The following is a 12,692-nucleotide window of genomic DNA, read 5'->3' on the forward strand; positions in this document are numbered from 1 at the left end:
GATTGTCCTTAATCTACAATGCAGTTCAAGGAACACTCACATGCAGAGATGAGAAAGAACCAACATGAGAACTCCCACAACTCCAATGGCTCGAGTGTTGTATGTCCTCCCAACGACTACACTAGTTCTCCAACGATGGTTGTTAACCAGGCTGAGTTGGCTAAAATGACAGAAATAGAATTCAGAATATGGATAGGAACGAAGATCATCAAGATTCAAGAGAACAGCAAGACAAAATCCAAGGAAACTAAGAATCACAATAAAATGATACAGGAGCTCATGGATGAAATAGTATAAAAAAACCTAACTAATCTGATAGAGCTGAAAAACACACTACAATAATTTCACAATGCAATCACAAGTATTAACAGCAGAATAGACCAAGCAGAGAAAAAAATCCTGAAACCTGAAGACTGACGCTCTGAAATAAGACGAAAAAAAAAAATGAACAAAACCTCTGAGAAATATGACATTATCTAAAGAGGCCAAATCTACAAATCACTGGCATCCCTAAAAGGGATAGAGAGAAAGCAAAGAACTTGGAAAACATATTTCAGGATATTGTCTATGAAAACTTCCCCAAACCTTGCTAGAGAGGCCAACAGTCAAATTTGCAAAATACGGAGAACACCTACAAGATTCTACACAAGATCATCCCCAAAACATATAATCATCAGACTTTCCAAGGTCAAAATGAAAGAAAGACTATTAAAAGCAGCTAGAGAGGAAAAGCAGGGCATCTACGAAGGAAATCCCATCAGGCTAATGGCAGACCTCTCAGCAAAAACCCCACAAGCCAGAAGAGATTGGCAGCCTATACCCAACATTCTTAAAAGACAAAAAATCTTCAACCACCCAAGAATTTAATATCCAGTCAAACTAAGCTTCCTCAGCAAAGGAGAAATAAGATCCTTTTCAGAATAGCAAATGCTGAGAAGGTTTGACACCACCAGAACCACCTTACAAGAGATCCTGAAAGAAGCACAAATATAAAAAGGTCATTACCAGCCTATACAACAACACATTTAAGTACACCGACCAGTGACGCTATAACGCAACCACACAAACAAGTCTGCATAATAACTAGCTAACAACACGAAGACTGGATCAAAGTCATATATATCAATGCTAACATTGAATGTAAACAGGCTAAATGTCCTATTTAAAAAGGAACAGAGTAGTCAGCTGAAAAAAAAAAAACAGTAAGACTCAATGGTGTGCTATCTTCAAGAGGAGAGACCCATCTCATACATAATGACATCAACAGGGTGAAAATAAAGGGAGGGAGGAAAACCTACCAAGCAAATGGAAATCAGAAGAAAACATGGGTTGGTATCCTAATTTCAGACAAAATAGACTTTAAACCAACAAAGATTAAAAAAAAGACAAAGAATGTCTTTACATAATGGTAAAAGGTTCAATTCAACAAGAAGACCTAACTATCCTAAATATATATGCACCCAATACAGGAGCACTCAAATTCCTAAAGCAAATTCTTGGAGACCTTCAAATATACTTAGACTCCCACACTACTATAACAATAATAGGAGGAGACTTCAACACTAATAGTATTAAACAGATCATCAAGGCAGAAAATTAACAAAGGTATTCAGGACCTGAATTCAACATTGGATCAAATGGATCTGATGGACATCTACAGAACTCTCCACTGAAAACCAATAGAATATACATTCTTCTCATCACTACATGGCACATACTTTAAAATTGATGACACAATTGAACATAAAACAACCCTGAGCCAATGCAAATGAACTAAAATCATATCAAACACTCTTGGACCACAGTGCAGTAAAAATAGAAATCAAGACTAAAAAAATGTTGCTTGAAATCATGAAATTACATGGAAATTAAACAACCTGCTCCGGAATGACTTCTGGGTAAATAATGAAATTAAGGCAGACATCAAGAAGTTCTTTGAAACTAATGATAACAAAGATATAACATAAAGAGAAAATATTGAATCTCTGGGATACAGCCAAGACAGTGTTAAGAGGGAAAATTATAGCACTAAATGCCCACATCAGTTAGAAAAGTCTCAAATAAAAAATCAAACATCACAACTAAACAAATTAAAGAAGCAAGAGAAAGTCAACCCCAAAGCTAGCAGAAGATTAAAAAAAAAAAAACAAGGTCAGAGCAGAGCTGAATGAAGGAGATAGAGACACATACACACACACACAAAATTTAAAAGATCAATAAATTTATGAGTTGGCTTTTGTTAAAAAACGAATATGATACTGAGGCCACTAGCTAGGCTATAAACGAAGAAAAGAGAGGAGATCCAAAAAACACACTCAGAAAAAAAAGGAGATATTACCATTGACCCCACAGAAATACAAATAACCTTAAGAGACTACTATGAACACCTCTATACACACAAACTAGAAAACCTAGAAAAGATGGAATCCTTCCCAAGACTGAATCAGGGAGAAATCAATTCCCTGAACAAACCAGTAATGAGCTTCAAAATTGAATGAACAATAAATAGCCTACCAACCAAAAAACCCCCAGGACCCTACAGATTCACAGCTAAATTCTGCCAGATGTATGAAATTGAAAGCGGACCCCTTTTTTACATAATATACAAAAATAAACTCAAGATGGATGAAAGACTTAAATGTAAAATCCAAGACTTTAAAGTCCTTGGAAGACAACCTAGGCAATACCATTCTGGACATAGCAACTGGCAAAGATTTCATGATGAAGACACCAAAAGCAATCACAACAAAAGGAAAAATTGACAAATGAGATCTAATTAAACTTAAGAGCTTCTGCAAAGGAAAAGAAACTATCGAAAGAGTAAATAGACCACCTACAGAAACATTCCTACTGAAACTATTCCAAAAAATTGAGGGGGAAGTAATCTTCCTGAACTCATTCTAAGAGGCCAGCATCATCCTGGTACTAAAAGCTACCAGAGACAAAACAAAGAAAGAAAACTTCAGGCCATTATTTTTGATGAACATTGATACAAAAATACTCAGTGAAATACAGGCAAACCAAATCCAGCAGCACATCAAAAAGCTTATCCACCATGATCAAATAGGCTTTATCCATAAAATGCTAAGTTGGTTCAACATACACAAATCAATAAATGTGTTTCATCACATGAACAGAACTAAAAACAAAAACCATACGATAGTTTCAACAGTTGCAGAAAAGCCTTTTGATAAAATTCAATATTTCTTCATGTTAAAAACTCTCAATAAACCAGGTATTGAAAGAACACACTTGAAAATAATGAGTCAACTATGACATACTGAATGGGCAAAAGCTAGAAGCAGCTCCCTTGAAAACCAGCACAAAACAAGGATGCCTTCTCTCAGCACTCCTATTCAACATAGTATTGGAAGTCTTTTCCAGAGCAATCAAGCAAAAGAAAGGAAGAAAGGGCATCCAAATAGGGAGAGAGAAATCAAACTATCCCTGCTTTGATTATCCATGATTCTATATCTAGAGAACCCCATAGTCTCTATCCAAAAGCTCCTTCAGCTGATAAACAACTTCAGCAAAGTTTCAGAACACAAAATCAACATAGAAAAATTACACCACAACAGTCAAGCTGAGAGCCAAATCAGGAATGCAATCCCTATCACAATTGCCACAAAAAGAATAAAATACTTAAGAATATAGCTAACCAGGGAGGCGAAATATCTCTACAATGAGAATTACAAAACATTGCTCAACAAAATCAGAGATGACACAAACAAATGGAAAAACATCCCATGCTTATAGATAGGAAGAATAAATATCATTAAAATGGCCATACTGCCCAAAGCAATTTACAGATTCAATGGTATTTCTATCAAGCTACCAATGGCATTCTTCACAGAACTAGAAAAAAACTATTCTAAAATTCATACGGAACCAAAAAATAGGCCGATTAGCCAAGGCAATTCTAAGCAAAAAGAACAAAGCTGGAGGCATCATGCTACTCAACTTCAAACTATACTACAGGGCTACAGTAACCAAAACAGCATGGTACTGGTACACAAACAGATGCATTGACCAATGGAATAGAATAGAGAGACCAGAAATAAGTCTGCAAACTTACAACTATCTGATCTTCCACAAAGCTGACAAAAAAAGCAATGGGGAAAGGACTCCCTATTCAATCAATGGTGCTGGGATAACTGCCTAGCCCTATGCAGAAAATTGAAACTGGACCCCTTCCTTACATAATGTACAAAAATCAACCCGAGATATATGAAACATTTAAATGTAAAACCCAAAACTCTAAAAACCCTGGAAGACAACCTAGGCAATACCATTCTGGACATAGGAACTGGTAAAGATTTCATGATGAAGGCAACAAAAGCAATCACAGCAAAATCAAGAATTGACAAATGAGATCTAATTAATCTTAAGAGCTTCTGCACAGCAAAAGAAACTATCAGAAGAATAAACAGGCAAGCTACAGAATGGGAGAAAATATTTGCAAACTATGCATATGACAAGGTCTACTATCCACCATCTAGAAGAAACTTAAACAAATTTACAAGAAAACAACAGCCCCATTAAAAAGTGGGTGAAGGATATAAGTAGACACTTTCAGAAGACAATATACAAGCAGCCAAAAAGCATATGAATAAAGCTCAATATCACTGATTATTAGAGCAATGCAAATAAAACCACAACAAGACACCATTTCACAGCAGTCAGAATAGCTATTATAATATTAAAAAGTCAAGAGTTATAGATGCTGGCAAGGTTGCAGAGAAAAGGGAATGCTTATACGTTGTTGGTGGGAACGTAAATTAGTTCAACTATTCTGGGAAGCAGCGTGGCTATTTTTCACAGAGCTAAAATCAGAACTACCATTTGATCCAGCAATTCCATTACTGGATATATACCCAAAGAAATAAAAATCATTTCATCATAAAGACACAGGCACATGTATGTTTATTGCAGTTCTACTCATCATAGCAAAGACATAGAATCAACTTAAATGCCCATCAAGGGTAGATTGGATAAAGAAAATGTGGTACATATACACCGTGGAATACTATGCAGCCAAAAAAAAACCAAGATCATGTCTTTTTGTAGGAGCATGGATGGAGTTGGAGACCATCATCCTTAGCAAACTAATGCGGGAACTGCAGGAACAGAAAACCAAATACCACATGTTCTCACTTGTAAGTGGGAGGTAAATGATGAGAACACATGGACACAAAGAGGGGAACAACAGATACTGAGGCCTACTTGAAGGTGGAGGGTGGGAGGAGGAAGAAGATCACAAAAAATAACTATTGGGTACTAGGCTTAGCATCTGAGAAATGAAGTAGTCTGTACCACAAACCCCCATGACATGAGTTTACCTGTATAACCAACCTGCACAAGTAACTCTGAACCTAAAATAAAAGTTAAAAAAAAAAAGAATTAACTCTTCTGCTCCCATTCAGCAATCTATGTATTTCTGCAAAATCTACACAACCTATACAATCTTCTGCACACAATTATTTAAAGAATCCAAAGTAGGAAATAATTTTACAATGCCTATCACTTTGATCAAGGAAGTATTTAATCCAATGACTGCCTAGCCCGTGGTTTAATACAGGTTTGTTGGTTAGGTGACTTTCTAAAGAAGTTAAGAGATCCCAGATTTATTGAGCTGGAAAAATCTTGAACAATCTTGAAATTTCACTCTTTGATTTCTGTCCTCTTTCATTAATTGTCGTATCCTTATGGAGAGACAAATTGTAACAGCTGTCCATTGCCTATTAACAGAGGTTGTCAAACTCTTTCTATAAAGATCCAGAGAGTAAATGTGCTTGTTTTTGCAGGACACAAGGTCTTTGTTGAAACTTCTCAACTCCAGTGCTGTGAGTTGAAGTCAGCTGTAGGCGGTGTGTCCCTCCATGGGTACGGCTGCTGTCCTATAAAACTCCACTTACGAAAGTGGGTGATATGCTGGTTTTGGCCTCCAGTGTGCAGTGTGCTAAGGGTCACCTAGAAGAAAAAGCCCCAACGTTTTCTTTCAGCCATTTCTTCCCAGTGTGCTTGATCTGTAAACAACCACTTCTGTTCCAAGTATGCAGGTTCTTTCAGGATTCATTCCTTTGTCCAGTTGATTCCACCTAATGCGCCATGTGAGTAGCAACAGTCAACATCAGGAATGGTATTGCTTTCAGTTCAAGCCTGTGTCAATTAGACCCAAGCGGTCCTCAAAATGAAAATCTGGTGGAATTGTCTTCCACAGCTAGGTCCTGGCCTTACTTCCACAGGCTTCAGTGAATATCTCCCTTTGCAGCATTCATCTACTAGTTTCCTTTTGAATCTCTTGCAATTTGTCTCACATGTATAACAGTCTCCCAAATGAAGTAGAAGATATTGCATAGTAGAAGCTAGCCCGCTGTGCTGTGTGCTGAGAAGCAGCCTTTGGTGCAGGGAAATCCAGCACATTTCTTCACTTTATCATTAATTGAGCTTCTCCTTGAAGCTAATTTGAATTAATGTAACCGGCTTCTTTACTGAATGCCAAACTGGAGCTGTGTGTGGCAAATCTGTGTGGCAGATCCATGCTCTGAAACCAAAAATTACTGAAGAGCAATTACTTCTTTCTGGTCACTGATGAAACATTCCAGCCATTGTCAGAAAGCTTCCAACACTTTATCTCTGCTAGTCACGATGAAGTGTGAGGAGGGGGCAGATGCTGGCTGGAGAAGAGGACCCTGCCTGCCATGGTCCTGCATCAGTACCACACAGCATAGCCTCACACGGGCGTGATGTTTGCCTTTGCATTTACCTTTCTGTATAACTTGAAGGTGTCTGGAAAACCGCAAGAACTTAGACACCTTGTTTCATGAGTTGCAAAGCCTGCCCTATATCCTCTGAGGCTTGTCTCTTGGTAAAACCAACAGATGTTTCACATAGACTGCACGGTAAAGGGAAACAGTGCTGCGTGAAAGAGGCTTGCAGCTCCGTTCTTCCATTCCAGCTTCACTAAGGGAGTAAGTGATGGTCCGTGAAGGGCAAGGGACTATATAAATTCAGTGCTGAATTTATAACTCCTTAAATGCTCCCAGAGCAGGATTTTATAATAGCTCACTCCAATCACAGAATGAAACTTTCTCAGCACAAAGTACTGTACTTGCGCTGCAATTATTTTAACCCACACGTTAGACATTTTACAGATGTGTTATTGCCAAATACATGTGAGCTTAAAAAATAGATTATTTTCTTTTTCCAAATCCTATAGAAAAAATCATCATAAACCAATTTTACCAGAAAATATGTATTTGTTACAACCCTAACTTTGTTTTTGAATTTGACATATATGCTTTCTTCCTTTGATAAGTGTCCACGTATTCAACTATGCCCAGTCCGTGTGATTATTCAACTCACTGGATTCTCTAATATTTATTAGTAAAAATCCAAGGTATGTCTTCACATCCCTGCTGCAGCCACAAAACAAGATTCTAAATGTCAAGTCTTATGGGCAGAATTTTGCTTTATACTATATAAAGTGAGTTTATGCATAACAAATTGTGATCTTAATTTATTTGCCATTTTTTTCCCCATGAGGGCAATGGTGTAATACACGGGCTCTCCATATGCCTCATTTCTGTTTGCCCTGGGTATTTTTAATGTAACAGTGCACTAATTCTAATTTCTCTTAGCCTAGGTCTGAAAATGCCCTTACTTGTTTAAAATCCTGTCCTTGTCTTAGGCAAAATTTGGCTTCCTTTTCTTACTTTATAATTCAAATAGATTCCACAAGCTCACTCACACCTGTTTTGTCTTTCATTCCTCACAGGGATGATCTCGGAACAAAATATTAAACCCACTCCATAGGTTTCTTTCTTTGTCTCCTCCCTTATTCATTAATATTTCATCTCCAAGGCCTGACTGCCAGGAACCTTGGTCAAGGAGCAGTGTAATTTTGATTAAATACATCTTCAGTGTTTGACTCACTGCAAAGCCCAGCCTCCCTATTGAGAAGCAGTCAAGGTACTGCGATGTAGCTCCCATGTTGAAAAACGATCTCAGACCAACTCTGAGACAAGGAATGCCTCCGGGTATGAGACTCATTTGTCGTTGACTAATGGATTTGTGAGTTTTTGTTCTCTTCCATTTTTTTTTAAATAACTGTTTTTAAAAATGTGTGTATGGTGGGGTGGGGACGGCTGCTAAAGCAATGAGAAGTGAGTCCTTAATTCCTACCCTGACCTCTTCCCTACCCCCTTATTTCCATCTGCTCTTTTCAATCTGGCTGTTTGGATGTGAGGTATTCTAAGATCCCACCGTCTTCCTACATAATAGGACAGCATTTCACACAAAGCTGCTGCCTGGCAGGTGGCAATGAGGTCATGTTTGAAGAGTGGGCAAGGTGAGCCACTTGCAAATAACGTGAGGAAGGGCTCAGTGTGACTTGTGCTCTAAAGAGATGCAGGGGCTTCAGACATGGATCTTTGAAACAAACCCCGTGGAGGCTGCAGAGAGATTTTAACGTTATTAAGGCACAAGTTGCACAATACCACTGGGGCCACTGCCATCTGATTTGTGCCTCATATTCTGGGAGCAATTCTTTCGTTTGCTTTTGAATGACTCTGAAAAAAGTGGCATCAGTCAGCGAATGCATGTCTGTATAAATTATGCATCTGTGAGTTCATGCTCACATGGCATTCAGGAAGCTCCATGATGTACGGCAGAGGCCTTTGTGGGGGAGGGAGAGATGGAGGGAGGGGCAGGGAGGGAGAGAGGCTGCTTGGAGGTTGGGAATCCAGAGGTTTCTGTGAATAGTGACACCTGAAATGAGAACACATATGAAGGTGGAGGGGCTCTGGGGAAAGTGAGAAGCCTGACCTAAATGCAGTCATTTTCTTCTCTCTGCTTCCATTCGTTTATGTCTCTTCTCCCTTGCCTGCCCCCTGCCACTGTTCCTGGTAGCCTTTCCCTGTGGCTTCTTAAGGAGACAGGAGCAAGCATGTATTTGCCAGGGTGCTTGCCGATTTTATTAAGCAAGCTTTCCATTCAAGTTTGGGGCGGGGTGGTATTGAAAGGTGTCAGACAGGAAAACAGATGCTCTGGTGGACAGTCATTAATTCCCCAATTCTCATTCATGTTACTATTCTAGGGAGACAGAGTGGGGGCCTAACGTCTAGTGGAGGAGAGAGACGTGAATAAATGTACGTAACAAGAGGCATCTAAAAAAGTGACCTTGGGGGGAAAACTGAAGATAGCAAAAAGCGGTTGACCACAACTCTGTCATCTAGATATCTATCACCAACTCTAAAATGTGTGTAGTCAACAAATGCTGTGAAGCTACATTCACAATTTGTATGGATGAGCCGTCTGATTGGAATAAGACTCAGATGTGGAAGGTACAAGCTCTTCAAGATGAGTGACCCTTCCAGTAGGTGAGGGTCTGCACTCTGTGCCAGTTAAAAGATAGCTCCACAAGGCAAATCAGTGTGCTCTGACCCAAAGGAAGTGCAAGGAAAAAGAACAGCTGCCCACTGTGGACTTCTGGACATCCCATCTTCTAAGACTTTAAAGGACTTGCATCTACTTTTGTTAATCTACAAGCATTCTTGGTAAATATCAGATACACAATACTAGCTTTTCTCATACGTCACAATGGAAGAAAAGGTAAAATCAAGACTCATGCATTTAACATTAATCTCTAGGAAAAAAACCAGGATGGCTAATTAAGCAGATGACGTGAAAAGGAGAAAAGAAAGAAAAGATGACTATACTAGGCAAAACAGCTTTACTAAGAACATAAACTAAGCGAACATAGTTGTTTTTGTTGATCAGGAGCTATGCTGGTAAATGAAAGAAATGTGAGTGTGGGCTCCGCCTGTGTAGAGAAAAGTGTGTGCACATACGGCCCCTTGATTCTGCAAGACAGTCATGCTCAGCTAAGATGGGGAAATACAAATTAAAGAAAGAGTTATTTGTGTCTGGCTGCAAGGCCATCTCTCAATATTTTGATTACTACATGTATGTCCACCAGCTGATGAAGCTGTCTAGTCGTGTGTCACAGTGGCTACCATTTGTTTTGCCCTGTTCAAAATTTCTATCAGTGACTTGGTTGACAATGCCATGTTTTAGTTTATTTCTAAAGAAAAAACACATACGTTTACTGGTTTCTTTAAGACTTCTCATTGTCACATAATAAAATTCACATGCTCTTCCCCCACTTAAAGTTTTAATTTATTTTTCCCCCTGACGGCTGGGAGTTTGGTGTCAGTTCTGTTCCTTAATGGTGGTGATCTGCCTGACTGGCCACCTGGAAGCCCTAACGCCTCTTACTCCTTGTGAATAAACTCTGTTCAATTATCTTCAATGCTGTATTTAACTGGCATGCCTAAATCCTCTCTACAAGGTAGAAAGTCAACCCTTAGTATTTTTCAGCTTGTAATATAGTGTAGTTTCATCCCAACAAAACAAATGCTTTTGTGGGAAGTCCATTCGGCTTCCATAAAGACTTGCAGGTCCCTGGTGAGATGGAGAGGATCAGCACAGAATTGAACTGGCTCCAGAGCTGCCCCTGGGCTCACAGACCCTGTAGCCTTCCTGCCCTGCCTGGTAAACTTGCCTTGACATTCATTTCCTCCTTCTTGGTCTCCCCTACTGTGGAGTGTGACCACCTGTCTGAGCTCCTTCTCTTTCGTCAGCATATGGCTTGGGCTTCCCTGCCCCCATACTTAGCTCTGTCTCCCGACTCCTGCTTTTATTTTTCAGCAACTTATCTTGATGGTTCTACAAACAGCTTTCTGATTCATCATTGAGAGCAACTCCTCCCAGAACTAACCTTTACCAGTGGGCTGTAGCTTCTGTGGAGACAGAAAAGAGAGTCTTTCTCCCTCTCCTTGTTCCAAACGACTGAGTGGTTTTGCTACCATTTTAGAAAGCAAGCATTTAACACGTGCCAGTGTTTAATCAATTGACTAATTTGTAACACACTGCTTCATTACTTCCGTGTTCACACACAGGCACACACATACACGTGCGCAAATGTCCCTATTTTTACAGACAAATTCATCTGTCCAGATTATAAGAGGAAACGTAGTGTATTAAATACACACTTCTTAAAAATGTTAGTATTTGGTTTTTAACTTTATTTTTTTCACTTTATTGAGGAATAATTGACAAATAAAAATTATGTATGTCTAAAGTATATAAAGTGATGTTTTCATGTATGTATACACCGTGAAGTGATTTCTACAATAAAGCTAATTAACATATCCATATACTTACGATCTACTCTCTTAGTGAATTTCAGATATACAATACATTATTAACTGTAGTCATCATGCTGTACATTAGCTGTTCAGAAAGTATTCATCTTGTAACTGTAAGTTGGTACCCTTTGACCAACACCTCCCCATTCTCTCCATTCCAGAACCCTGATAACCACCTTTTTACTCTCTGTTTCTATGAGTTTGACTTTTTAAGATTCCACATGTAAGTGAGATCATGCAGTATTTGTCTTTCTGTGCCTGGCTTATTTCACTTAGCATAACGTCCTCCAGGTTCATCCATGTTGCTGCATATGGCAGAATTTTCTTCTTTTTTAAGGATAAAAAAGATTCCTATTGTATGTGTGTGTGTATATATGGATGTACACCACAATTTCTTTACCCATTCATCTGTCTATGGACATGTCTTAGGTTGTTTTCATATCTTGGCTACGGTGAATAATGCTGCAATAAACATGGGAATGCAGATATATCTCCAATATAGATAGTAATTTTATTTCCTTTAAATTTGTACCCAGAAGTGGGATTACTAGTAATATAGTAATTCTATTTCTGTAGTTCCATCTGTCCAGATCATAAGAAGAAACATAGTGTATTAGTTAAGTGTACACTTCGTAGAGCCAGCACATTAGTATTTCTTTTTTTCAATTTTACTTTTTTTTTCACTTTATTGAAGAATAATTGGTGATTCTATTTCTAATTTTTGGGGAACCTCCATGTTGTTTTTCATAATGGCTGCACCAATAAATATTCTTACCAAGTGTGCACAACAGTTTCCTCTTCTCTACATCCTTGCCAACATTTGTTATCTTGTGACTTTTTGGATAATAGTCATCTTCAAAATGTGAGTGACACCTTATAGTAGCTTTGGTTTGCATTTCCCTGATGATGAGTGGTTTTAAACACCTCTTCATCTACCCATTGGCCATTTGTATGTCTTGGAAAAATGTCTATTCAGACTATTTATTTAAATTTTGAAAATAACCCTATTTTTTAGTTGGGTTATTTTATTTATTTATGTTTTTGCTGTTGAGTTCCATGAGTTCCTTATAAGTTTTGGATATTAACCTCTATTTAATAGGATAAGTGGTATATGAATATTTAATCCCATTCTGTGAGCTGCCTTTTCATTTTGTTGATTGTATCCTTTTCTGTATAGAAATTTTTTACTTTGATGTAGTCTCACTTGTTTGTTTTCTTGCCTGTGCTTTTGGTATTATATCTAAGAAAAAAAATATCATTGCCAAGACCAATGTCATAGAGTTTTTCCTTTATGTTTTTTTTCTAGAAATGTTATAGTTTCATGTCATACGTTTAGGCTTTTAATCCATTTTGAGTTGATTTTTGTATATGGTGTCAGAAAAGAATTCAATTTCTTTTTTCTTTTTTTGCATGCGGATATTCATTTCTCTTGACACCATTTGTTGAAGAGACAATCCTTCCCCATTGTGTAATCTTGGCACC

General features: G+C 38.2%; 1 annotated feature.

Moving 5' to 3' along the window:
- Nucleotides 7,911–8,652: an enhancer, noted in NCBI's record as "OCT4-NANOG-H3K27ac hESC enhancer chr2:6193971-6194712 (GRCh37/hg19 assembly coordinates)". NCBI's record gives its function as "activates a minimal SCP1, AML or CMV promoter by ChIP-STARR-seq in primed H9 embryonic stem cells {active_cell/tissue: H9 hESC(primed)}" and the evidence as "EXISTENCE:reporter gene assay evidence [ECO:0000049][PMID:30033119]".

Source organism: Homo sapiens, chromosome 2 (assembly GCF_000001405.40).
Source record: "Homo sapiens chromosome 2, GRCh38.p14 Primary Assembly".
In the NCBI taxonomy this organism is placed as follows: domain Eukaryota; kingdom Metazoa; phylum Chordata; class Mammalia; order Primates; family Hominidae; genus Homo; species Homo sapiens.